Genomic DNA, 27,789 nt, shown 5'->3' with positions numbered 1-27,789 from the left:
CAGTGATTGTATTTTTGAAGCGTTTACTATAATATTATTCTGAACAGTAACTGCTGTGTTTGCAGAAGACGTTAATGCATGTTCCCTTAGAAGAAACAGTTCCATGGTCAAATAAGTTTAGGGAGCATTTGCATACTTTTTTTCTCCTCTAAAAGATTCACAATGCACATTTTCATTGTCGTAATGCTGAACCGTCTGCAGTAGGGAAATATGTTTAGCCTGACAATTCCTTTATTTAACTAGTATGAGTCGGAGGAACTAGTGATACATGGAACACACTTTGGGAAATACAACCACATCATAGAGCAGTAGTTTACGACTTTGGTGTATATCAGAATTAGTTGGAGAGCTAATAGAAAACATCAGATGCCTTTGTATTTTTACTTTTACTAAATTCCAGAGGTAACTGTGATACCCATCAGGGTTTTAGAACCATTGCTATACAGTAATCTCAGAGGAGTTTTTGTTACCACTTGAGGAGGGAGAGTTGCCTATTAGCCAACCTTCTCTCTTTCCAACTTGCTCTGTCAAAGTCCATGCTATCCCTGGGAAGACCAGCATCAGCTATGAACTGCCTTCATTTAAGGAAGAGCATTCAGATCAGATGGGGCTCAATGGCAGTTTTGTGGGAATAGCATTGAATCTATAAATTACTTTTGGTAGTATGACCATTTTCATGATATTGATTCTTCCTATCCATGAGCATGGAATGTTTTTCCATTTGTTTGTGTCCTCTCTGATTTCCTTTAGCAGTGGTTTGTAGTTCTCCTTGAAGAGGTCCTTCACTTCTCTTGTTAGCTGTATTCCTATTCTTGTTGTAGCAATTGTGAATGGGAGTTATTCATGATTTGGCTCTCTGCTTGCCTGTTGTTGGTGTATTGGAATGTTAACAATTTTTGCACATTGATTTTGTATCCTGAGACTTTGCTGAAGTTGCTTTTTAGCTTGAGAAGATTTTGGGCTGAGATGATGGGATTTTCTAGATCATGTCATCTGCAAACATAGATAATTTGACTTCCTCTCTCCCTATTTGAATACCCTTTATTTCTTTCTCTTGCCTGATTGCCCTGGCCAGAACTTCCAATACCATGTTGAATAGCAATGGTAAGAAACAACAGACTTGCCTTGTGCTGGTTTTCAAGGGGAATTCTTCCAGCTTTTGCCCATTCAGTATGATATTGGCTGTGGGTTTGTTATATATGGTTCTTGTTATTTTGAGGTATGTTCCTTCAATATCTAGTTTATTTAGAGTTTTTAACATGAAGCAATGTTGAATTTTATTGAAGGCCTTTTCTGCATCTATTGAGATAATCTTGTGTTATTTGTCTTTAGTTCTGCCTATGTAATGAATTACATTTATTGATTTGCATATATTGAACCAACCTTGCATCCCAGGGAAGAAGCCAATTTGATAGTGATGGATAAGCTTTTTGATGTGTTGCTGGATTCGGTTTGCCAGTATTTTATTGAGGATTTTTGCATTAATGTTCATCAGGGATACTGGCTTGAAGTTTTCTCTTTTTCTTGTCTTCTGCTAGTTTTGGGGTTTGTTTGGTTTAGGTTCTCTAGTTCTTTTAATTATGGTGTTAGGTTGTTAATCTGAGATCTTTCTAGCTTTTTGATGTGGGCATTTAGTGCTATAAATTTACCTCTTAACACTACTTTAGCTGCATCCCAGAGATTCTGGTACATTGTCTCTTTGTTCTCATTAGTTTTAAAATTCATATGAAACCTAAAAAGAGCCCAAATAGCCAAGACAATCCTAAGCAAAAAGAACAAAGCTGGAGTCACCATGCTACCCAACTTCAAACTGTACTACATGGCTACAGTAATGAAAACAGCATGGTACTGGTACAAAAACAGACACATAGACCAATGGAACAGAATAGAGAACTCAGAAATAAGACTACTCAGCTGCAACCATTGAATCTTCAACAAACCTGACAAAAACAAGCAATGAGGAAAGGATTCCCTATTTAATAAATAGTGCCAGAAGAACTGGCTAGCCACATGCAGAAAACTGGAACTGGATTAATTCCTTGCACCTTATACAAAAATTAACTCAAGACAGATTAAAAACTTAAATGTAAAACCCAAAACTATAAAAACCCTAGGAGAAAATCTAGGCAATACCATTTAGGACATAGACACAGGCACAGATTTCATGATGAAAACACCAAAAGCAATTGCAACAAAAGCAAAAATTGACATGTGGAATCTGATAACTAAAGAGCTTCTGCACAGCAAAATAAACTATCATCAGAGTGAACAGACAACTTACAAAACGGGAGAAAATTTTTGCAATCTATCCCTCTGACAAAGGTCTAACATCCAGAGTCCACAAGGAACTTAAACAAATTTACAATAATAAAAAACAAACAATCCCACTAAAAAGTGGGCAAAGGGCATGAACAGACACTTCTCAAAAGAAGACATTTATGCAGCTGACAAACATATGAAACAAAGTTTAACATCACTGATCATTAGAGAAATGCAAATCAAAACCACAATGATACACTGTCTCAAGCTAGTCAGAATGGCAATTATTAAAATGTCCAGAAACAACAGATGCTGGCAAGGTTGTAGAGAAAATGGAACACTTTTACACCGTTGGTGGGAGTGTAAATTATTTCAACCATTGTGGAAGACAGTGTGATCATTTCTCAAAGATCTAGAAGCAGAAATACCATTTGACATGAAAATACCAAAGACATGGAATTAACCCAAATGCCCATCAGTGATAGACTGGATAAAGAAAATGTGGTACATATATACCATGGAATACTATACAGCCATAAAAAGGAATGAGATAATGTCCTTTACAGGGACATGGATGGAGCTGGAAGCCATTATCCTCATCAAACTAATGCAGGAACAGAAAACCAAACACCACATGTTCTCACTTATAAGTTGGAGCTGAACAATATGAACACATAGACATAGGGTGGGGAACTACACACACAGGTGCCTATGGGGAGGGAGGGAGAGCATCAGGAAGAATAGCTAATGGATGCTGGGCATAATACCAAGGTGATGGGTTGATCTGTGCAGCAAACCACCATGGCACATGTTTACCTGTGTAACAAATCCTGCACATGTACCCTAGAACTTAAAAGCTGAAGGACAAAAAAAGAGAGAGAGAGAGATTCCTCTATACATTCTACATACTGCAGGAATTCCTCAAAGTCTTTTCATTGTAATCTCCTGGTCAACAGTAGCTATCCCTTAGCCCTGCTCCAAATCAGAACTCAAGAGAATTTTCTCTCCAGAACCAATTTATTGGTTCTTTGAACAAGGCTTAGTTAATCAGGATTTTAGTAGCAGTCAGTGAACAAAACCAACAAGGCAGTCCCGTGAGGCAAAAGGAAGGGAAAGACAATAAACAAGTAAACCAATAAATAAGATAATTTCAGATAGAAGTCAGTGCTGTTGAAAAAATACATAGTGCCATGGGACAGAGAATGACTAAGTCAGGGATTCTGTTGAGATCCTGTGATCCTAAAAGGCTATAAATGCACTAGGGCCAGTCAAGGTAATGTGGACACCATCACAGAGAGGAAATTGGCCCTGATAGCTCAGATGGGATTGGCCCTGATGGTTCAGAAAACTTCACCAGCTACCCCCATATATATCTGGCAGGCTATATCTCCTGTACCCACTGTTGCATGACTGGCTTATACAGGACCCCAAATAAATATTGGTGAATGGTTGGTTGGTTGGTTGGATGGATGAATATCTAGTTAACTCTAGTGATTCTGACAAGATCCATCTGGTGAGGCCTTAAATCAGGGCTTGTTTAAGCTATTGAGCCAAACTGATTATTCTGTTTGAGGAACAGCTCCCTCCTATTAGGCATATGTAGTACTCTGTACCTGACCCTGAAGCACAAGAAGGAAATGGGCTAAGAATACAAAAAAACCCTTTTGTGCCACAGAGTCAATGACCACTTCATTACAGCCCAACTGGAATGCACTACAGACCCTTAAAGGGAAATGGTTCCTCACTTCCCCAAGTACTTGAAGCAGCTGTGGTCTATTCATCAGGGTTCTTAGTTGCAGGCAACAGAGACGGATTCTAGCGATTCGTTAGAAAAGAGTTTATTAAAATGGCATTCTTACATCACATTATCTCTGGGGAGGACAGAGAACCAGATCTGGAGGTGCTAGCCAGCCAGGAACAATGCCAAAATTATACCACTGAATTGGTCTACTGAAAACACTAGGATTCTGCTGTCAGAACTGTCATTGCCAATACCTCAGGCAACTGGATGGAGCTGCTGCCTCCACTCTCTTCCATCACCAGACAGGATTTTATACACATCCTACCTCTTTAAGTTAATTCCTTTGGACCGAAGCTTGGGGTGGACATATCTGATAGGCAGATTCTAAGTCACAGTTTCAGGAAAAGCTAGGAAAATGAGCATGTGGCATTTTCAGCTTCTAAGTAGGAGATGGCCCTACCCCATTAGGGAAGGAATCTCCCTGCAGTCACAAGAAGGGGGTTTGAATTCCGAACAGCCAAAAAGAAGAGCAGATGTCAACTACAGCTGGAGTAGAGAAAGTAAGACCAAGAAAAGAAGATCAGAGACGCTATCTTGACCCTGCTGGGGAATAAAAACATAGGACGCTAAGAAGCAAAGCAAAGCAATTGCATGAAGGTACAAAACCAACGCATCAAGATATGAGTCCAAAGGCTGTTCTACGATCTAGTCTTGCCAGTAGCTCTGATATTTTGGTCTCTAGGCATTGGGCTTGTGTGTTAATAAGTATTGGTTAATTCATAACTTGGGAGGGGAATCTTATTTACTGGCCCATATATCCCCCAACAGATGCTGTTAGTATTTGTTTTCTGACACTCTCTTTTCTAAGTCTCCGTGTTTAGCCAATAGTCTCAAATAAACAAATATATTAAGTACTGACTCTGTGCCAGGTATTATGCTAAAAACCTTATATGGATATCTTATTGAATCTGCACCATGATCCTGAATACAAAGAGAGACAATGAGGCTCTAATCGATTAAATAAGTTGCTCAAGATAATAAAACTAGTAAGTGGCAGAGCCTGATGTCTTTCTTTAGATATGTTAATACCTATCTGTTTCTATTAGATAGGTTAATATCTTCAAACAGGTTATAGTCAGTTCTTTACCACCATTCAGACTGTTTAATGTAACTTAATGATTTTCTGCTTTGAGTTCATTAAACGTTGCCCTTTGTTTTAGTACACAGGGAAGAATCTTGTTTTTCTATTTTCAAGTTCTTGATTAGAAAGTTATTAGGGGAGAGAGAAGACTTCATGGTTGTTCCCATGTGCTTTCCACATGGCCAAGGCAAGACATCATTCTATCTATTTTCCAGATGAGGAAACTGGACCCACAGTCAAAGCAGATGTAAGTTGTAAAGCAGGATGCCAAGATCAGTGCCCTTTCAACTGCACCATTGTTGAGGAAGGGCAAATAGATTGTGATTTGTATGCTGACTAGCTGGTATACTCATTTTCTATGGCTGCTGTAACAAATTATCACTAGTTTAGTGGCTTAAACAACACATAGTTATTATCTAAAGGATTCTTCCAAAGTTAAAAGTTTGGGTAGGTAGACATTCTGCCTACCACAGCTGGTTAAGGCTGTGTTAAGAAGGATTCTGAGGCTATGTCTGTGTTCATCAGGAAAGATAACCCTGGCCAATTAGCAATGTCTACCATGGATTCAGAAGGAAATACCATGTATTTTCTATCTTACCATAGATGCAGGCTAAAAGAAGGAGAGTATTAAAATACCTACTGATAAGGCTTTAGGACCAACAGGTTCATATGCCTTCTACACAGTAATAGTTCAATACACTGAGACAGCAGGGTTTGCAGCAGAGAAAGACTTTAACAATCACAGGGCACCGAGTGAGGAGAGGAGAGGAGAGGAGAGGAGAGGAGACCCTCAAATCCATCTCCCTGATTTTTCCTGGGCTGGTGTTTTTAAGGGGATCAGGGACAGTGAGGGTCAAAAGTCAAAAGTTTTCCTAAGAAGGGTAAAGGGAATGTGGGAACCGCATTCTTTAGTGAGTCAGCTTCTTGTGGGGTCCTTCAGGCAAGCAGGTGTCAGTAGTTTCACTGGTACACAGGACCTGAAGGAATATCTCAAAGGAAAAGCTTAATGTTTTGTAGTGTTTGAGTTTTTATCTATACAGCAGTTCAGGGGAGCTATAGTCTTACAGCAGGGTCTGCATGATTCTGGGGCAATAGGCCACAAACCACTATGGGGAAGCAGGTCAGAGGGCAAGCTGACCTCATAACAAACACTGACAGTGCTGCCAGCTTGGTTTATTTTTGTTTCTCCCCTCCATGCTTCTCTGATTAATTTTATAAAGTTTGTAGGAATGGCTTCAATAAGAGGAGTGACAGCCAGTTTGTGGGCTCCAGCCCTTGCTGGAAGGACCCTTAGAAGCAGAAGCAGAGTGCTCCAGTGCTCTGCCTGGTTCCATACTGTTGTAGTTTTTCTCTTCCTGGAGCTGGAGATACTTGACCCTCTGGCAAGGTGAGCCCCTGCCCAGGTTCCAGGAATGATGCTGTCTCACTGGATCTCCTGAATCTCTACACAGCGGCAGGCCCAGTGCTAGGTGCTGGAGCATCAGGGTAGATACAGTTCTCTCACAATGGGATACAACACTACAGGATAGCTGCAGACCTGAGGGGCTTACGCTTAAAATGGGAGACAGACTGGCCAAGAAATGGATATTCAAGGAAAAATTATGTTACTTCCCAGGGTTCACTTGTCCTATGCTTTCTACCTCCATGACCACACTCAGACTGCCTAAAATGCTCTGCTGTTTTGCTAACTCCAATCCTGTTCATTCTGCAAACACTACTTCCTCTTTGATCCTCCCCAGCTGGAAGAAAGTCCATTTTCTCATTGTAGTTTTCTTTTTTAGCATATCTGAGGCCACTGATGTTCCCATACTCCACAAATACCTTATTGAGGACCCACCCTATGCTGGGTACTGCATCTGGCACTGGGGACATACTAGGGATAAAAGGTACAGACTTGGCCCCTTTTTATGGAAATGACAGAACAGTGGGGAAGGCAGATATGAGTCAAGTCATCACACCATTAAATATTATAAAGGGGCACCTAGAATCAGTCCTACAAGGAATAGGTACATGGTATTCTGAGAGTTATGAAGCTGCCTTGGAAGTGACAATTGATCTCAAATCTGAAGGCTGAACAGAAATTAACTAGATGAAAAAGAAAGAGAAGTCCATTCCAGGCAGAAGACACATGTCAGGGAAGCAGTGCATGGAGAGAGCTCTGCTCTCTCTGAAAGGAAGGCAGTGGCTGGAAAGGAGCAAGAGGTCTGGTGCTGGCTGGAGTGGAGAGACAGGCCAGAGCCAGGGCATGCGGGGCAAATTCAATGCTTTGATCTTCGTCCCAATAACTAACTGTGTGTCCACTCCTCTTGCCCTTACCCACTCTAAGCTCCTCGGGTATCCCTTACCCTTTAAGAATCTTGGTTCCCTCTACCAGATCTCTGTGTTTAGGACTATATGAGAAGTGTTAGCTATAATTTCAAGCTACAGGCACACTTAAAGATAAAAATAAAGTACATTCCTGAGAATGGGGAAGTGGGGTTCACCCTTGAACAAATAATTAGGGCTTGGAAAGAGGAGAGGTTGAGATATAAAACCATCTTTCTGTTTCTGTATGATATACTCAACCAAAGTGAACAATGCCACTTGTTAGTCAGCAAACAACCAATGTGAAATGTCCACAAACATATGCACTAAAATCTAACAGACTTCAATCTGAGACTTCGAAATTCCTTGGCAAGTTGGGGTCCTCATCTCTAAAGGGTGGCAGAGGTCTTGAGCTTACAGAGTGGCAACGTCTATAACTCCCATAGTGGCTTGCATAGGTGCAATAACCAATCATAAATGTTAAACAGAATTTTAGGACACTGAGAACTTTTATGTAATCAACAAATGCATATAGGATCATTTTTTGGAGTTTTGTCAATGAGGAGGCAGAACACGGTGAAGGAGCATTGGCTGAGATGTAGAAGGACAATTCCTTTTTCTCACTCAAGCTCTGTCACAGAGGCGTTCCTGGGCCCTGGAAACCCTTTCAAGCCATCATAAGCCCCCCTCTCATTGCAAAATGTGATGATGTCACCTTCTTAAGTATATTCATAAGAAAGGCAAAAGCTGAAGAATAATCAAAACTACCTGGAAAATGCCTGAAGAAGGCACGATGCTGGAGCCTGACATGACACACACCATCTCTAAGTCCAACATTGCCAATTTATCTTCCAGTGCTGGAAAGAACTGCTGTTGATTTAACTGAACACCAGATGAGGTTCCTGGCTTGCATTCAGGAGCCATGTTGTAACAAAAAATGTACCTTCTCTTTAAACACTGAAATCACATTCAGGGAGGTGAGATGCTTCCGTTCCAAGAAGCACATCATCCTGAGGTAATAGTACAAGATGTACATCTCCTGTTTCCCCAACTGCTGTTTCTCCACCTGCTGAGAGTAGAAAATTGTACCTCCTCAGCCCTACTTGCTTCAAAAGGATTCTGTAAGGATAAATATGGGTGCGTGTTATCTTTGTAACTTTACAAAATTTACAAACTTTGCAAAGCCCAAGTCAGTGAAATAAAATCTCCAAAATCAAGTTACCATGTTGACACTAAGTTTTATGTGGCCAACATTTACATTAATGTAACATCAATACATATATAAAACAATAGAATCCCAAGACTACAAGTATTTTTGGAAGAACCCAGCCCAATTCCCAACCCAATGTAGAATCCCAATCAAAAGTTACTCATGGATTTTGAATTACGCAGGAGTCGGTGTCCCTAACCCTTGCAATGTTCAAGGGTCAACTATAAGGGCAGACTAAGGTCACCTCTCAAATAACTCTCACAGCCCCTAAGCAAATGGAGTCCCCTAAATTTTCCTGATTTCATGGTTCTAAAAAGAACAATGGCTGAGAAAAGGAGTAGCTAAGAGAAAAGTAGTACTCAAAGGAAATAGTAGCTCAGAGACAGGGAGCTCGCTTTTTAACTAGGTGACCTATTCCGTTGTGCTTAGAAATTTTACATTTAGTAATTTGACATCTGCTTCCTCAGAACTTTCTCTCACAGATCTCAGTAATATCTTTTGCAGCCACACAAAATATGTATTTTTCTATGTGATAACACCTCAGATACTTAAGGGCAGCAATAATCTCTCCTCTTCTCACAGGACATTGGTACCAAAGTTCTCATTTACCATCCTAGGCATCTACCTCCACATATGCAAAATGTATCAGTGTCCCCATTACAGGGTGGGAAGGAGAATCTAGCCTGCCTATATGTGAGGTTCCTCTACTGGAAAAACTCTTCCATCCTGGAATAATAGCTGAAGATCCAGAGTAAATTTAACATAGGGCTATAGTTCGAATACTCTTTTCTTAAATGAAAATTTCAGTTGTGTTCTGACCCAGAACATGAACAAAAAAAAGGAACACAAAAGAAAAAATTTACTTAATTCCACAAAAAGGAATTCAATTTCTAAAGCTCTTCATCATTTAAACATTTGAAATTGCTCCGGGGCTTCTTTTTGGGATCATGCAGGCATGCCACCCCTGGAATTCACTTCTGAAGGATCCAGATTGAGCAGAATCAAGATATTGGGATTTATGTTTTCTAATAAACTGAGATAATCAGGAATGTCACAGCTATTTCTCAAAAACACTATAACCTGGGGAACCCATTAACCTTGACATAACTACAGTTGACTCTTGAATGATACAGGTTTGAACTGAGTGGGTCCAGTTCTTTTTTTGTTGTTGCTGTTGTTTTTGTTTTTTTTGAGATGGAGTCTCACTCTGTCACCCAGGCTGGAGTGCAGTGGCGCGATCTCAGCTCACTGCAAGCTCCGCTTCCCGGGTTCACGCCATTCTCCTGCCTCAGCCTCCTGAGTAGCTGGGACTACAGGCGCCCGCCACTGCGCCCGGCTAATTTTTTGTATTTTTAGTAGAGACGGGGTTTCACCATGTTAGCCAGGATGGTCTCGATCTCCTGACCTCGTGATCCGCCCGCCTCGGCCTCCCAAAGTGCTGGGATTACAGGCGTGAGCCACCGCACCCGGCGGGTCCAGTTCCATCCTGATTTTTTCTGCCACCAAAGGTAGCAAGACAAACCCTTCCTCCTCCTCTTCCTCCTCAGCCCACCCAACGTGAAGACAATGACGATGAAGTCCTCTATGATGATCCACTTCCACTTAATGAATATAACTGTATCTTCTCTTCCTTATGATTTTCTTACTAACATGTCCTTTTCTCTAGTTTGATTGTAAGAATACGGTAGATAATACATTTAACATACAAAATATGTGTTAACTATGTTATCAGTAGGGCTTCTGGTCAACAGTAGGCTATCAGTAGTTAAGTTTTTGAGCAGTCAAAAGTTACTCATGTATTTTGAATTACGCAGGAGTCGATGTCCCTAACCCTTGCACTGTTCAAGGGTCAACTGTAAGTGCAGACTAAGGTCACCTCCTGAATAACTCTCACAGCTCCTAAACAAATGGAGTTCCCTAAATTTTCCTGATTTCATGGTTCTTAAAAGAACAATGGCTAATTCCACCAGACACATACTTCTCTCTGTTATCTATTCTGATCACTCTCTGGGCTTTGCAATGTCTTGGATGTATAGCATATACAGGCTGGGATATATACTGTGAAATCTGTTTATGAATTGCTAAGAGATGACAAGTTTAAAAATACAGTGTAGGAAAATTACTCATGGTTGTGGAGGAAGATGGGGAAAAGTGCCAAATGGGGCTTTTAATGAAGCTGTCTCAGTGTGAACATATGTAAAAATAACTTTTAGATATAGGAATTATGATGAACAAAAATGATCTAGCTAAGTTAAGAAAACCTATAGGTACACAAGATCCTGGTGATTATATGTATGATGAACAGCTTATTCAGGAAGGACCATTTTGTTTCCTGTTAGTGGATCAACATACTTGGCTCCCCAAAAAACACTCCAACTAGACAAAACATATCAACACATTAGTCAGAAATATAGCTTTATTATCATAATATTTCATAATCTAAAAACTTCTTTAATTCTGGAACAGAATATTCCAACTTCTGTACAACTGACTGGCCCTGCAGAATACTGGAAAACAATGTCTAAGCAACTTGAACCTTGCAGATAAGAACCTGTAACCTAGTTTGGGAAAAAGGGAAAAAGCAAGAAAAGCGGTTCAAAGGAAGATTTCTTCCCTACAAGACAAATAAAATTAAATCTACTCTCCATTTCAACCTTGAACATAGTTTCCCAGAAACTTTGGTGATTTCTTCAAAAAAGCAACCGCCTTAACTCTAAGGTCAACGGCCCATGTGGACAAAGAAAATATTTAAAAATAAGACACAAACAGGACATGGTACTTAGCTCAGGCCATGGTATGTTAAGTGGAGTATGCTTCTGAGTAAGCCATCTCCCATGTTTTGACACTAAATTTATGTCTCTAAGGAGGCACAACATACATAACACATTTCTTTATATGGGGTCAAAATTTAGTGGGAACGTAAAAAAACATTTTAATATAATAAACAAATCTCAAAATAATTCGTCTTGTGAAATGTAGAGTAGGATGACATTATGGTACTTTCTGAAGATCATGGGGTACCACTGTCAAAGAGAGTTGCCATGCCCTCTATGTTAGATGAAAATCCAAAATGTCAGTTACTTTAAATAAAACAGAAACAAGTTGTCATTGCACACACATTACAGGACAAAGAGCATGCAATACAACTAACAAGTCATGTTTTTAGTATGTAAAAGGCTAAGGTGCAATCATGGTATAAGCATCAATAATAAATAACTTTAGAGGGGGAAGTTAATTCTCCAAATAAATAATAATTATAACATTACAATTTTTACAATGTTAGCCTAAACAGTGCTATTCACAGCAATGTTTTTGCCCACTTGATAGCTGCTTATATATCACATGAATGATCTACCCCCCCCATAAACTGAAAGTCAAAGTGAAGATTCAAGAACATTTTCATTATGGTAGGTTCAGAATGTTTGTATAATGATAAGTTACACTTTTCAATTGACTGGCATTTTAAGCAACTGCTTTATTTCCTATTTTTAATGCGCTGCTAATTTGATGCTTATTGCAGTAACAATCATAATTCTGCCAATGTTAATTACGTTACAGTTTTGATTTTTTAAATAAGAGAATTCAGTTTACATGAACAAACATATATAGTTTAAAAACCACCCACCACAAACACACACTTTCTCCATGAGTATTTAAAAATAAATTATTAATATACTTAACATATATATTTTGTATGTGTTATATATATGTATATATGTATATATTTGTGGACAAAATTATTCCTGTTTTCAGAAGAATGTCAGCACTTGTAAACTCTGCAAGAGACCTGATGATATTGCTAAATTTAAGGAAAAAATAACATGGAAATTCATTCTTGAGGAAAATCATACAGCAGGAAATTCTTAACAGCTCTTTGTGGAAACTAAAGCCATTTTAGGGAGGGAAGGAGGGGAAGACAGTGTCAGATTCTGGCTCCTACATGCATTGTTTATTTCAGAAATTACTTTAGAATGCAACATAGAGTGAACACTCCAGATACTTGGTTGAAAGATACCTGAAGCCCTTAACAGGGCACAGAAGCAGCAGGAGGCAAAGTGAACCACCCAGTGGAAAAGTTAAGCCAGCGAAGAGAAAGTCATGCCCATAGCAGAGAGAGAGAGGGCCACTGACACTGGCCGGGAAGCAGGTCTTAGGAAAGGGCTTGGCGACACCCGCAGTGCTTCCAGGATGGTCACGATGCACGATGCACCAAGCGTGCAGTCCACTGTCATTCCAACCACCTAGCCACCCAGCCCATGCTGGGTGCTAATCAAAAGAGGATTTTACTTCGCTCCCCAGCCATATCCACAGAAGCAGCTATTAAGATAGAGGCTGGCAGCATGGTCTGTGGGTGCAGAATACTCAGCCAAAGAAGACGGCAGAGGTGTACCAAAATCTGAATAAACATGCATCTAGGCCACCAAAAAACCTCAATCAAACAAACGAACTGAAAGACACCCTGTCGGAATGAGAACTGAAGTCTGACTGAACGAGTCCCTTGAGCAACCCAGAAATTGAAATCTTGATTAACCAGAATACTCGGGGAATGGGAATCCTTATTTTGGAGGCTTTCAAATTAGCTGAGGGGAAGGTTATACACAAACACAAATATTTTCATTTTACTGCTATTAACAGAACTTTACACTGCCATTCCTTGCCTCGCACTTTGGAGAGCAGTGGGCACAGATGAATTTTCTCCCTAGGCCTGACATTTTGTGTGGCCTTGGTCCTGAAAATTAGTGACCACTGCATAGAAGCCCAGATGCCAAGATTACTGGAGACTGGGCCAGTTACTTTAGAAGTTAGAGCTTTAAGATTGATTTAATTTTTTTATTCTTTCTGTAATTTGCAAGCTTCTAAAAGGGGGTTATAATAAAATTCTGGTTCACTAAGATTCCCATTTGCTAAGCTCTGGTTAATTGAGGTGCTTGCCTGTGTTATGCCCTTGGCTTTTCCAATGTGTCTTACTATGGAATGTTTCCAGAAAGACATTACTGTTGGCTCCTGGAACAACGTTCCCCAAAGCCCAGCGATGATTGGTCCAGCACCACCCACCCTTTTAGATGATGTTCACAATGGCTGTTGGCTTTTTTTTAGCCATTTTGGGCCTGATGTTGCCTTTGCGGCCAAACCCCAGGAGCTCCCCTTTCTTTGGAGGTCTGCAGAGGTCTCTTGAGGACTCAGCCTGTTCGTGAATGGCCTTGGCAGGCTGCATGCTGGCTCTGTCATCCTTGGCCTTTTTCAGGTGGTTCCTTCCCTTTGGGTGGAAATGGGCCTTGAGATCAGGGTGGTTACATACCGAATGCGGGTGCCCTCGGCTTCTACAGAGGGTTGGAGGGGGGAGTGGAGAAGAGATGAGCAGAAAGAAAGATTTCTTTAAAACCTTAAAAGAATAATTACTCATGGCACAATCTCTCCTACATGCTACAGTGGTGATAATGCTACCACAAAGGCAAATCATAATATGAGTATTTTTCTTCCAAAAATTCCTGTGGTCGCCATGAAAAGATCACATGGTACTAAATTCCCAGGGAGATATTACTAGTTCTATTTACAGTGATAAGACTGAGGTATAGAAAATGTTAATGACTACCCCGAATAATACAGACAGTTGGTCTATGGAGAAGATGGGACCAGAACTCATGTCTCTTGACTTGTTAAGTGACGACTAGCAGACTCAGACAAATTCACTGCATAGATGTTGTAAAGCATATGACTGCCAGGATGAATTTACATAAACAATGTAGTACATGAACTACATTAATAGTACTATAGAGTTATTATGACCACACTATACCTCAATAAGAGAAAGTTATACTATATAATACTCTAAAAATATTCCTCCAGTGCCATCATAGTGGTATATACTAATAGACTAGTAGGATATTGAAAGGTCACATCAACTTTTCACAAAGTTAGATACACATGCAGGTCAGTTTTCACTTAAGCCTCCCAAAGCCATTTATAATATAGATATCATATAAAATAGATACGATCTCATATAAAATGCAACAGGAAAACATACAATACAAACATTATCAAATGGCCCAAGTATAAAAATACATACATACAGGCATTTGGGCTTCCTATTTGAGGAGATGTCTGTAAGCTGAAGGAAAACAAATAAGAAAAAATGTTAACTGCATTTGAGGACTGGATTTGGTTTTTAAAATATTTCTTATACTTTCTAAAAACTGCATTCCCATTAAGGGAGTCAGTGACTGCTACTGGTAGCACGACCTGCAGCACCATCCATTGCATCAGTGAACAAGAACATCTCATGCTCAGCCTTTGCTTGCTTACTCCAGGAGCCTCTGTGGGCACTTGTTCTAAGATTTCTGAGAAGTCTATGTCAGCAGATCTCAAAAATCTCAAACACGCAAAAGAGCCCCCCAGTAGAGCAACATTTGAAGAAATATGTTTCCAAGTACTGGAATGCCTTTGCATCCTCATAGCTTAGTTCCCACTTGCAAGTGAGAACACAAGATACTTGGTTTTCCATTCCTGAGTTACTTCACTTAGAATAATGGCCTCCAGCTCCAACCAAGTTGCTGCAAAGACCATTATTTCATTCCATTTTATGGCTGAGTAGTATTCCATGGTTCACATATACCACATTTTCTTTATCCACTCGTTGGTTGATGGGCACTTAGGCTGATTCCATATTTTTGCAGTTGCAAATTGTGCTGCTATAAACATGTGTGTGCATGTGTCTTTCTCATATAATTTACTTCTTTTCCTTTGGGTAGATACCCAGTAGAGGGATTGCTGGATCGAACAGTAGTTCTACTTTTAGTTATTCAAGGAGTGGGGTGACGGATAAAAGACAACATATTGGTATAATGTACACTGCTCACGTGATGGGTGCACCAAAATCTAAGAAATCACCACTAAAGAATTTATTCATGTAACCAAAAACCACCTGTTCCTCCCAAAACCATTGAAATAAAATAAATACATAAAATTTGAAAACTTGAAATGATCTGCCATGATTTCTTGATTGATTCAGGCTGTATTTGCAGCTAATCTATAGCTGTGGCCAGTCACAATGTATCAACTAAGGGGAACACTGACATAAAAGGTTTCTTGCCTATAATACATCATTCCTAAAATGAGAGAATATGAAGAACAACCCCACAAATGTCCCTGAGGCTGTCTATCATTGAGATGATTTCCCACTCCTAATAACTCATGCAATAAAATATCTGCATGCACTTTTGTGGCTGGGCTTGGAATATTCTCATCTGCAGAATAAATTGATAATTATCATTTTGTGATAGAGATGTCACCATCCAGTGTATAGGCAGTGTATTTCCATCCCCCTGATCCTGATCTTCCTCATGTAGTTTTCACTAGAATAAGTGGTGTCACATTAGCAGGCAGACCAACAGAAGAAGAGAAACGACAAATAAAATATGGAGAAAAGGCCACCTTGGTATTTGGGCCAGTGTGGCCAAGATATATGTCCCTGCTGTACTAAAATGATCTGAAAACCCAAGCTCAGCCTAACAGGATCACTGCCTGCATTCTTCTGTCTGCAGCAAGCCGCAAAGGAAGTTCCTTAAAAAAAAAAAAGGAGGCTCAGGTCATGAGGAGACAAGATAGGATTCTTGTGTTCTGTCTTTTGACACAATCAGAACTCAGCAATATTTTGAGCCTGCTCATGCAGGCTAGGTTTGGCTTCAGATTAGTAAAGTGTAACAGAAAAAGGCACCGTTATCACATGAGGTCCCAAAGATTATGCAACATACAAAGAAGGTGGGACAGATGGCTCCGGCAAACGCCAGGCTGGTAGCTTCTGGGGAACCAAAGGCACTGGCATCAACTTTCTCTACCCCACCATCACCAATAAGTATTTCTCAGCTGGGCTCCTTCAGTGAACTTCAGTCAATGTATAAATTGTAAAAATAAACAAGGATTTTCTTCCTTTAAATCTTTTCTCCTTATTGTTTTTTTAATTATTAGAGCATAACAAAATGTGTTCACTTTACCGTTTGTATGTATGTAAGTGGCAGTTTAATGATTTGTTGCATACATTTGTATACATACTGCTCTTTGGAATTTTATGCAAAATTGAGAGAGAGAGAGAGAGAACAAATACATGTGTGTGTATGTTTCTGTCCCTGAGAAAAAGACTAACAGTGTTATCACATATTCAAAGTGATCTCTGATTTCAAAAATGTTTTTAGAACTCCAACCTTAGTGACTATGAATGTCACTAATGGGCCCTGCTGGGACCTCAAGATATGAAAGGACTTTACTGTGTCTTACCAAGAGGGAAATGCATGATAAAGATGAGTAAAGATGGGTCATGAAGCTCACACATATAAAGGTACTATAAATTGTGCATGTCTAGATGTCACACACCAGATCAAAAACTGACCACAGAACAGGCAGAATTAACCCTCACAGCAGCCCTAGGAGGTAAGCATCATCATTCCAATTTTAGAGATACGGAAGCTAAGGCAGCAGAGTTAAGTAACTGATTTGAAGCCTCGGTGCTTTACCAGTGTTCGGGCTGGGCTTCAAATCCAAGTTAGCAGACTCCAAGCCTGAGCAAGGCTTCACTCTGTACTGTATTCTTAAAAACTATGTGTTCATGTACATACATATAAGAACAAAGAAGTATGTACACAATAAATTAAGTGGAATCAATGGCTGGACTAGAATTCCTCCAAAGATCCTATAAATGATGAGGTTTGGGGTGGAGGCCAGGGCTTATCATCACAGCCACCACAGAATTTCCTCTGCTCCCCCCATGAACACAAGAGGCCACTGTTCCTCCTGGCCCCTTTGGCGTCAGGCAGATGGAAAAGCTTTTCCCACTTAGTCCATCTACCTACTTCCATTTTCTCCTAGTCCAACACTTTTGTCTTCTTTTTGATTAGGGAGAGGAGGATGTTAAGATGAGGATCAAAAGAGCCTTTGATCAAGGTCCCAGATTGGAAAAATATAAATAGCCTTGTACTAAAAGCCAACCTAAGTACAGGTTTGACTAACTCTTATCCAAAATGCTTGGGACCAGAAGTCCTTCAGATTTAGAATTTCAGAATATTTGCATTCTACTTACCAGTTCAGCAACCCTAATCCAGAAATATGAAAACCAAAATGCTCCAACGAGCATTTCCTTTGAGCATGACCCTGGAGCACTCAAAATGTTTTGGATTTTGGAGCATTTAGAATGTCAGATTTGGCCTGGTGCAGTGGCTCACACCTGCAATCCCAGCACTAAAGGAGGCCGACGTGGGCAGATCACCTGAAGTCAGGAGTTCGAGACCAGCCTGGCCCATATGGTGAAACCCCCGTCTCTACTAAAAATACAAAAAAAAAAAAAAAAAAAAAAATTAGCCGGGTGTGGTGGTGGGTGCCTGTAATCCCAGCCACTCGGGAGGCTGAGGCAGGAGAATCGCTTGAACCAGGGAGGCAGAGGTTGCAGTGAGCCATGATCATGCCATTGCACTCCAGCCTGGGCAACAAGAGCGCCTCGAAAAAAAAAAAAAAGAGTGTCAGAGTTTTGGAACAGGGATGCTCAGCCTGTAATATACATTCACCTATAAAATAAGAAGCCACGTCTTTGATATCATCAAACTGCCAAATCTGTGCCCAGGATATCATCAAAGTGCCAAATCTGCCCAGGGTATCTGTGGCTATAGAGACAAAGAATAACTCAGATGCTTTTAACAAAGAAAGTTTTGAATAATATCTTTGGCCCAGCTTAGTGAAGATACAGAGAGCCCAGAAATCCACGCTTCTGAAGCCTCAGCCACACCGAGGACAGCTTCTTGCCCCAGTGCACTGCAGAATAAGCAGAAGATTCTGACTCTACTCCCCACTCTCTCCCTCTTGCTTGCATACCTGAGCTCCCTCCTTTAGAACAATGAGGAATACCATCCCCAGCCCGGATCTCACTCTCTCCACTAAGGCTGCACTACAAAAGCAGTGTAGATCCTCATCTCCCTTCTTATAACCACCTTAGTTCCCTCCCTCTCTTCTCTTCCCTCTTTTTCTCATTACCACCTCTAGAGAGCAGTGAAATTCCTAGATTGATATGTAAGTTGCTTGTTTCTAAGGTGACTTATAGCATTAAAGAATCTTCTGTGCTATGGAAAAATTTCCTTCCCCTTCCATTTAGTGTCTTTGCTGAAATAATGTTTTGGCATCTGTATCTTTCCCTCAATTCCCTTGAGCATTTATGTTCTTGTTCACCTGGCTGATTTCTAAAAATATAATATGCTTACTCAGATATTTTATCTTTATGCTCTGAAAAATGGTGCCGAATTAGACACAAAGTGACCTACTATCCCATCTGTCAAAATCACTCACACAACTGCTCAAATGGAAGGTCATGGAACAGTTTGGATAATCTTATTTTAAGTGTTGCATTTATGTCCTGCAGGTTGCTACATCAGGACTAGCAGTAATTCATTTAACACATATTTACTGGGGTGCAGAACTTACTGGTACTGAGGAAACTGCTCTCAGTGAGGAGGGGGACACAATTACTGATTAAACAAATGAATATAATTTTACATAGTGCTAACTACCGCAGCCTGAATATCCCTAACCCAAACACCCAAAATCCGAAAGCTCCAAAATGTGAAACTTTTTGAGAGCCAACATGACCCTCCAGGGAGATACTCACACTGGAGCATTTTGGATTTCTGATTTTGGATTAGGAATGCTGAACCAGTAAGCTGAATGCAAGTATTTCAAATTCTAAAAAAATCTAAAATCTGAAACATTTCTGGTCCCAAGCATTTCGGATAAAGTATACTCAACCTGTATGACAATGAAACACACTGTTATAAGGAAAAATGGTCTACAGGGTCTGCAGACTGTGTCATAATGTGTCTGACTATGGTTCAAAGCAGAATTTCGAGTACTATACAAGGAAACAAGGGGAAACCACATCTGCCTAATCCTTTCAGAAATCACATACCTCATTCTTGGTCTTCCTAGGGCAACGTATCCTCCCTCCAACCCTCATACAGTTCCCTCACCACAGCCTGATCATGCCCCACTCATACACAGCTCTCGTCTGTAAATTTCTTGCTATATTCTAACTGTACTTTATTTGAATTAGTCAATTTTTCCTTCAGTAGAGCAAGTCCATGAAGGTTGATCATATCATATTTGGAATACAGAAGGTACAAACATAAATATTTATTAATTTCCCACCATTTGTGTATGTATATATGGATGTGTACATTTTTGTGCATGTATTTATGTGTGTATATGCATGCATGTACATGTATATGTACATTTGTGTGTGGCACACACATATACACAGTCATGTACTAAAAAACAATGTTTCAGTCAACGACAGACTGCATATACGAGGGTGTTCCCATAACATTATAACAAAGCTGAAAAGTTCCTATCACCAAGTGACACCATAGCTGTTATAATGTTGTAGCACAATGAATTGTTTGTGGTGATGCTGGTGTAAACAAATCTACTGTGCTGCCAGTCACATAGAAGTATAGCACATATAATCATGTACAGAGCATAATACCTGATAATGACAATAAACGACTAGGCTACCGGTTTGTGTATTTACTATACTATACTTTTAATCTTTCTATTTTAGACTGTACCTGTTCTATAAAAATAAAATGTTATCTGTAAAACAGCCTCAGGCAGGTCCTTCAGGAAGTATTCCAAAAGAAGGTGTTGTGACCATAGGAGATGACAGCTCAGTACGCGCTATAGCCTCTGAAGACCTTCCAGTGGGAAAAGATGCGAACAGGAATATTGATAATCCTGGCTCTGTGTGTATTTGTGTCTTAGATTTTAACCAAAAAAAAAAAAGCTTAACAGAAAAATTAAAAAATGTAAAAATAGAAAAAAAGCTTATTGAATAAAGCACATGAAGAGAATATTATTGTACTTCTCTGGTATAAAAATAAGCACATAGGGCCGGGTGCGGTGGCTCACGCCTGTAATCCCAGCACTTTGGGAGGCCGAGGCGGGCGGATCACCTGAGGTCAGGAGTTCCAGACCCGCCTGGTCAATGTGGTGAAACCCCGTCTCTATTAAAAATACAAAAAATTAGCTGGGTGTGGTGGCAGGTGCCTGTAATCCCAGCTACTCAGGAGGCTGAGGCAGGAGAATCACTTGAACCCGAGAGGTGGAGGTTGCAGTGAGCCGAGATCACGCCACTGCACTCTAGCCTGGCAACAGAGCAAGACTCCGTCTCAAAAACAAACAAACAAACAAACAAACAAACAAACAAACAAACAAACGGCACATAGACCAATGGAACAGAATAGAGAACACAGAAATAAAGCCAAATACTTAACAACCAACTGATCTTCGACAAGGCAAACAGAAACATAAAGTGGGGAAAGGCCACCCTATTCAACAAATGGTGCTGGCATAATTGGCAAGCCACGTGTAGAAGAATGAAACTGGATCTTCATCTCTCACCTTATACTAAAATCAACTCAAGATGGATCGAGGTCTTAAATCTAAGACCTGAAACCATACAAATTCTAGAAGATAACATCAGAAAAGCCCTTCTAGACAATGGCTTAGGCAAAGACTTCATGACCAAGAACCCAAAAGCAAATGCAACAAAAACAAAGATAAATAGATGAGACTTAAACTTAAGTCTGCACAGCAAAAGAAATAATCAGCAGAGTATACAGACAACCCACAGAGTGGGAGAAAATCTTCGTAATTTATACATCTGATAAAGGACTAATATCCAGAATCTACAAGGAACTCAAACAAATTAGCAAGAAAAAAACAATCCCATCAGAAGTAGACTAAGGACAGGAATAGATAGTTCTCAAAAGAAGATATACAAATGGCCAACAAACATATGAAAAAATGCTCGACATTACTAATGATCAGGGAAATGCAAATCAAAACCACAATGTGATACCACCTTGCTCCTGCAAGAATGGCCATAATGAAAAAGTTTTTAAATAGATGTTGGCAGAGATGTGGCGAAAAGGGAACGAACACTTTCATACAGCTGGTGGGAATGTAAACTAGTACAACCACTATGGAAAACAGTGTGGAGATTTCTTAAAGAACTAAAAGTAGAACTACCATTTGATCCAGTAATCCCACTACTGGGTATCTACCCAGAGGAAAAGAAGTCATTACATGAAAAAGATAATTGCATACACATTTACAGCAGGACAATTTGCAATTGAAAAAATACTGAACCAGCCCAAATGCCCATGCCCATTAATCAACGAGTGGATAAAGAAATTGTGGTTTATATATACCGTGGAATACCACTCAGCCATAAAAAGGAAAGAAAGAATGACATTCTCAGCAACGTGGATGGAACTGGAGACCGTTATTCTAAGTGAGGTAACTCAGGAATGGAAAACCAAACATTGTATGTTCTCACTCATAAGTGGGAGCTAAGCTATGAGAATGCAAAGGCTTAAGAATGATACAATGGACTTTGAGGACTCGGGGGAGGGGGTGGAGGAGGAAAGGATGAGAGGGGTGTGAGAGATAAAAGACTACAAACTGGGTACAGTGTACACTGCTTGGGTGATGGGTGCACCAAAATCTCAGTAATCACCACTAAAGAACTTATTCATGTAACCAAACACCACCTGTTCCCCCAAAACCAATGGAAATCAAAAATTAAAAATTTAAAAAACTTAAAAAAGAAAATATTATTGTACTTCTATATAATGTTTGTGTTTTAAGCTGTTATTACAAAAGAGTCAAAAGGTTAAAAAATAATTTAAAAGTCTATAAGGTAAAAAAGTTATAGTAAGCTAAGGTTAATTTATTATTGAGAGAAAAGTTTTAAACAAATTTAGTGTAGCCTAAGTGTACAGTGTTCATAAAGTCTACAGTAGTGTACAGTAATGTCACATTCACTCACCAGACACTCACTGACTCACCCAGAGCAAATTCCAATCCGGCAAGCTCCATTCATGGTAAATGCCCTATACAGCTATACTATTTCTTACCTTTTTTAAATATCATATTTTTACTGTACCTTCTCTTCTTCTCTATCTGTTTAGATACATAAATACTTATCATTGTGTTCCAATCACCTACAGTAGTCAGTACAGTAACATGCTGTACAGGTTTATAGCCTGGGAGTAATAGGCCATATACCATATACCCTAGGCATGTGGTGGGCTATACCATGTAGGTTTGTGTAAATACACTCTATGATGTTCATACAATGACAAAATTGCCCAACCACACATTTCTCAGAATGTGTCACATTGTAAAGCGACACAACTGGATATAATTTTGCATGTACATATCTAACTAGAAGAGCCAAAATGCTACCCAACTTTTGATTACATTATTTGGCATGATGAGAAATAATGACTGGCTATGTCTCTTTAAAAAATGTTCAACTTTCAAGCCAAAAAAATAAACTAAGCAAAAAAGGTGAGCAAAAACAATTTTAAAAGAGAGAATGAATGGGCTTCCTTACTTCCTCCTTGCCTTCCATTGTTTTCTCTCTTTGAGATTCCTCTTGGCTGAGTATCGGAAGATTTCATACATTTCTTAGCTCTGGATGACTTATAATTCTAAATATGAAAGTGTCAATGTTACATTTTAATTTTAGAATTCCTAACCATCAAAGTCAGGTGATGCTCACACAAGTTAAGAGGCCAAAACAACCTGGAAAGCACTGAATCCAACCCCTTCATTTTACAGAAGAAATATAGGCCCAGGAAGACTAACTATCTTGCCCAGTCAGAAGCAGAGTAAGAATAAACCGGAAGCCAGGCATTTTCAGGCCTTTTCACCTCACATCTGGGCACCATAACCTCATGCCCCAACCCTCTCTTAAGAGGGCAGGATGAAAGAAGACGGCAGAAAGAGGCTCAGATAGTCCCTCCAGCCACAGCTAGTCAAGGCTGGACACGCTCATGGTTTCCCAAGGAGGAGATGGAGAGGGATCAAAGTGTGGTGTGACTTCCCCCTCAGAAGCATTTTACGTAGAAGACCACAGACATCCACCCAGAAAATAATAAATATGTTACATGGATGAGACTTCTTTGAATATAGCACCTGAAACCTCACAGATGTAACACACTTCCTTCCAGTCTCTTTTTGTTCTGGAAAGTTCTGGGGCTTATATCACTGAGCTGCGCTAAGGCCAAGTGTACATGATTACAACAAGCACCATGTAGGATTTCTTCATTTCTTTCCGTCCTTCCTCCCTTCCTCTCTGCTGTTCCTTCTTTTATCCACCTGCCTTTCATTTCATTCCTTCATCTGGACAATTAGTTTTCTTATTTAATCATGTTGCCTTTTCACCCTGGCTTCCAGAAAGCTCTAAGTAAACTTTTAAATCAACCAATAGCAACCTTGCTAATCTTTTGATCGGCATAAATGTTGCCTATTTTCTTTTCCTTATAATAGAGCCCATTTGCTGCGGGGGTGGAAGCAGTAAAAAAAAAAACAAAACTATTTTTAAATCTGCTAGGAAGGAGGTAAGCATAAATAAAGTTCAATAAGTAATGAAAATGTTATAAATAAACCGCTTTGGGGTATCCAAAATATTTCCTTGGTTTTGTTGTAGGAAACCGTAGACAGGGCAAATATGACCACCCACCCCCGCCCCCCATCGACCTAGAGTATGGTTATTTGTACCTCCCTCCGCCCTCCAACGAGACCAAGGGAATCCTGATCAAGCCCCCTATGAGAACCTGGATCTTTATCCACATCCAGGGATCTCATCTGGGCTTTAGGCGTTTCTTAAACTCCTGAAACTATATGCAAAACTGTATGCAGGAATCTACCCTAGAACTATCACTTGTGAATCTTTCAGTCTTTTTGAAAATCTATATGAAGAATTTTAACTTATAGAGACTGTTGAACAGTGCTTGCCCCCCATTAAGGAAAAAAATGTGTATGTGGTTTGATCTTACTTTACTGAATTTCGTAAGATTCTCTTGAAGACCTCCAAAACATGATAATAACTTCTGAGCTACTTGAACATCAAAATTGAAATGAATGATTTCTTTGGATACTTCAAACTCTTCTATTTTACAAATTTAAAATATATATATTTCTACCAACTCAGCATGATGTGGAGTGGGAGGGTGAAGAGCGACTGAAAACGGCACATGCAGCATTTACCTTACTTCCAGGCGTCCTGGACTCCCCAGTAACATTTCCACAATACAGGCATGGCCCAGGCAGTGCTCTCAAATGATGTCTAGAGAGTCCCTGCAAGTCACCCAGCTCCCTTTTCTCTGTCCTCAGCCCATTCTCACCAACCACAGGGATCTTACACTCGGTGGCTGGCCCGGGGTGACTCACCACGTGCCCGCTGAGATCACGGACAAAGCCAGAGGCCTGCTGGCTCTGATAGTACTCAAGCTGCTTCTCCGCCAGTTCTACCCGCTGTAACAGATTCTCAATAAAGTCCTGGAGCCGGGCTTTCCCTTGAACCTCCTTCTCAGCTGCCGCTTCCAGGAAATGGTTGAATGTGACAACTTCTCTGCAAGGCAAAAATGTCAGAACACAAAAGGGAAATATAAGGCAAGGAATTCACTCATTCAACACATATTTATTGAGTGCCTACTATTTGTCAGTTAACACCCTAGGCAGTACTCCATGGCAATGACGAGAGAGGTAATCACCTCTTTGTGATTACATTTACAGACTGTATTTTAATAGAGGAAGATAGTCACTATAAAACAAACAAATAAATATATGTCAGATGGTCATAAGTGCTAAGAAAATTGAAACTGGGTGCAAGGGGACAGTGACAGAGGAAGGAAAGGAGTGAATAATATTTTAAAAAGCAAAGTTAGAAACGACCTTTTGAATGGGGTGACATTTGAACAGAGACCTGTGGAAGAAGCCATGCAGGTGTTTAGGAAGAGCAAACCAGGGACAGCAGATGGGTCTGAGGTACAGCAAGGGGGTCTACATGGAGGAGGGAGCTAGGTAGGACCTCACAGGTCACTGTGAGACTTCTGGTTTTATTACAAATGAGATGGGAAACCATTGGATGTATTGCTTTTAAGACAAGCTCTGACTTGGATTTTTAAAGTCTGGCGATTGGGAGAGAAAACTCTACAGGGAGAGAAAGTATAGGAGCAAGAGGCCGAGCTGAGCACCAAAACAGCACATCAAATGAGTCATCTTGTCCAACAGTATATTTTTTAGCTTAGAGCTTAGAACAAAACAGCCCATACAGCTACCACGAGGTCAACCCAAAGACCACCGGGAAAACTATTCTAATGCTGACATAAGAGAAGCAATGCATGGGTTGCCCTCCCCTAAGAAGCTGAGCAAAATACTTCAACTACTCCTTTATCTACATAATTCACAAGTAGATTACAAATCCAGAAAAATTCTAATAACTTTATTACCATCTTATATTTTGCTTTCATTTTTAATGGAAATATGAAAATAGTATTTTTTTCTGATTTATAAATAAGCTCTTTATTTAAAAAATTCAAATAACCCATTAGAAATATAAAAAAGGAAAGATCACCTGAAACTCCATTATCCTGAGACCACCACCATTATCTTGGTAGCCATCCTCATGAACATCAAACTCATCCCCAAACACACCCACCCAAGCACACATACACGGTTTTCCTTCTTTTCCTACCTTGCTCTCAACTCTCAATTCCCCTCTCTCCAACCCTCTTTCCTAGGCCAAGGACCCAGTAATCACCACTATGAATAGGTGTATATTGCCAGAGTTCTCTCTACCCTATTGTCTTCACTTAATAAGAAGCCATGAATATCCTTTTAGTCATCACCCTTGTATGTTCTGCAAGTCCCAGGGGAGCTAATGAGTTCCATAATTTTACTGTCCGTTGGGTAGTATTTCCTTTACATGTCTCCAAAATCTCTCTCAGTCTTCAAGGAATGGCCTCTCACTGTTTTTGCCATGTTCAACTTACACAAGATTCTAAAGACTCTACTTTCTGTCCTTTCAGGCTCTTTCAATTTTGATTCGTGAATGCTAATTTTTGTTAATCCAACCTCATTCAGTTGTTCTAGACAGTTAATTAAATTCATTGGCTTCTCTACATCTTCTCAACCTCCACTTGATCTTTATTTTCCACTGAGCTCTGTAATTCTCTTGGGAGTAGAACTTCAGGGAAGTCTAGCTCAGGAAGTCAGAGTTTTACATAAGATCTTTGCAAAATAGCTGGTAGTGACCTCCAGCTCTTTTCTTCTGTACTAATAGTCAGTGTGCCACTTTTACAATTAGTCATGATTTTTCTCTCACAAATACATTACGCCACACATGGCCATACTGAAACTTTTCTGACACTTCCTATAGAATCACACATCCTTACAAAACTTTGGGAATTACATATGTATAAAAACAGACAACAGGCTGGCTCTAATAATGATTCACTCAAAGAAATGCTAGTGATACCAGCCCCTGTTTTTTCTAGTTTCCCAACCAGGATCAAACATAAACCCTAATTCCATAATAATTCCATCATCTTTCAGTAGCTAAGAAATATCCACACACAAGAAATAAGAGTCCTTCTGGAAAAGAATTTTTTTCATCGTCAAGTTTCAAGTTTATTTCCAGATGTTTCCATATTAGCCCTCAATAGAAGATGTGTACTTTTCAAGGTCTTCATTATTCAGGCCATGAACACAAGCCAATTTTTAAGCTCTACCGTCATTCACTTTGATCTGCTTCCTACATGAGCCACAAACTTTAACTAGCAGCAAACGAGTGGCGGGCCCATGTGAATGCATCCCCAGCCCTTTCATGGTTCTTGCTTATGGTTTAGGTCCTTTGGGATGGAGTATTCTGGAAATACACCACAGGAAAATGGTTACTACTTCTTATTTCCAACATTAAGGCTTCAATTCATTTGGAGTCTGAGAATCCAAATTTCTACAAGCCTGTTGTAGAGATTTCCTGGGAGATATTTAGGATAACTGAATGATGCAACTGTCTCCAAACTGTACTTACAGGGCAAACAACCAAAAGTTAAAAAAAAAAGTACCATTTTTAAAAATTCATTTCGGTCAATATTTCCTACATCTTATTATGGAAATGGTTCACATATATTAAGGAAAATATAAAAATTGACCTTTTGGAGGATTCAACTGGGCAGGGACAGAATCAGCTTTTGTTCTCTGTTCTAAGTCCAGCACTCAACACATTTGTGTTTGACACACAATATTGAA

At 39.8% G+C, this 27,789-nt stretch overlaps 1 protein-coding gene across 2 annotated transcripts in view; it reads right to left on the bottom strand.

Annotated features, from left to right (window-relative positions):
- ZNF365 (zinc finger protein 365) overlaps window positions 1–27,789 on the bottom strand; it is a 105,917-nt gene that overhangs the window by 66,782 nt on the left and 11,346 nt on the right. The window contains exons 3-5 of one of the 2 annotated variants that reach the window (NM_014951.3): window positions 24,928–25,108; window positions 14,727–14,764; window positions 11,054–13,976 (exon numbers count right to left, since the gene is read on the bottom strand). In NM_014951.3, coding sequence (NP_055766.2) covers window positions 13,715–13,976; window positions 14,727–14,764; window positions 24,928–25,108 — 481 coding nt within the window. In that variant the 3' untranslated portion in view covers window positions 11,054–13,714. Of the gene's footprint in view, window positions 1–11,053; window positions 13,977–14,726; window positions 14,765–24,927; window positions 25,109–27,789 lie in introns of those variants that run through there. The other variant, NM_199450.3, reaches the window with a different exon arrangement.

This window comes from Homo sapiens, chromosome 10 (assembly GCF_000001405.40).
Source record: "Homo sapiens chromosome 10, GRCh38.p14 Primary Assembly".
Lineage (NCBI taxonomy): Eukaryota > Metazoa > Chordata > Mammalia > Primates > Hominidae > Homo > Homo sapiens.
This window is presented reverse-complemented; position numbering and strand designations above follow the sequence as displayed.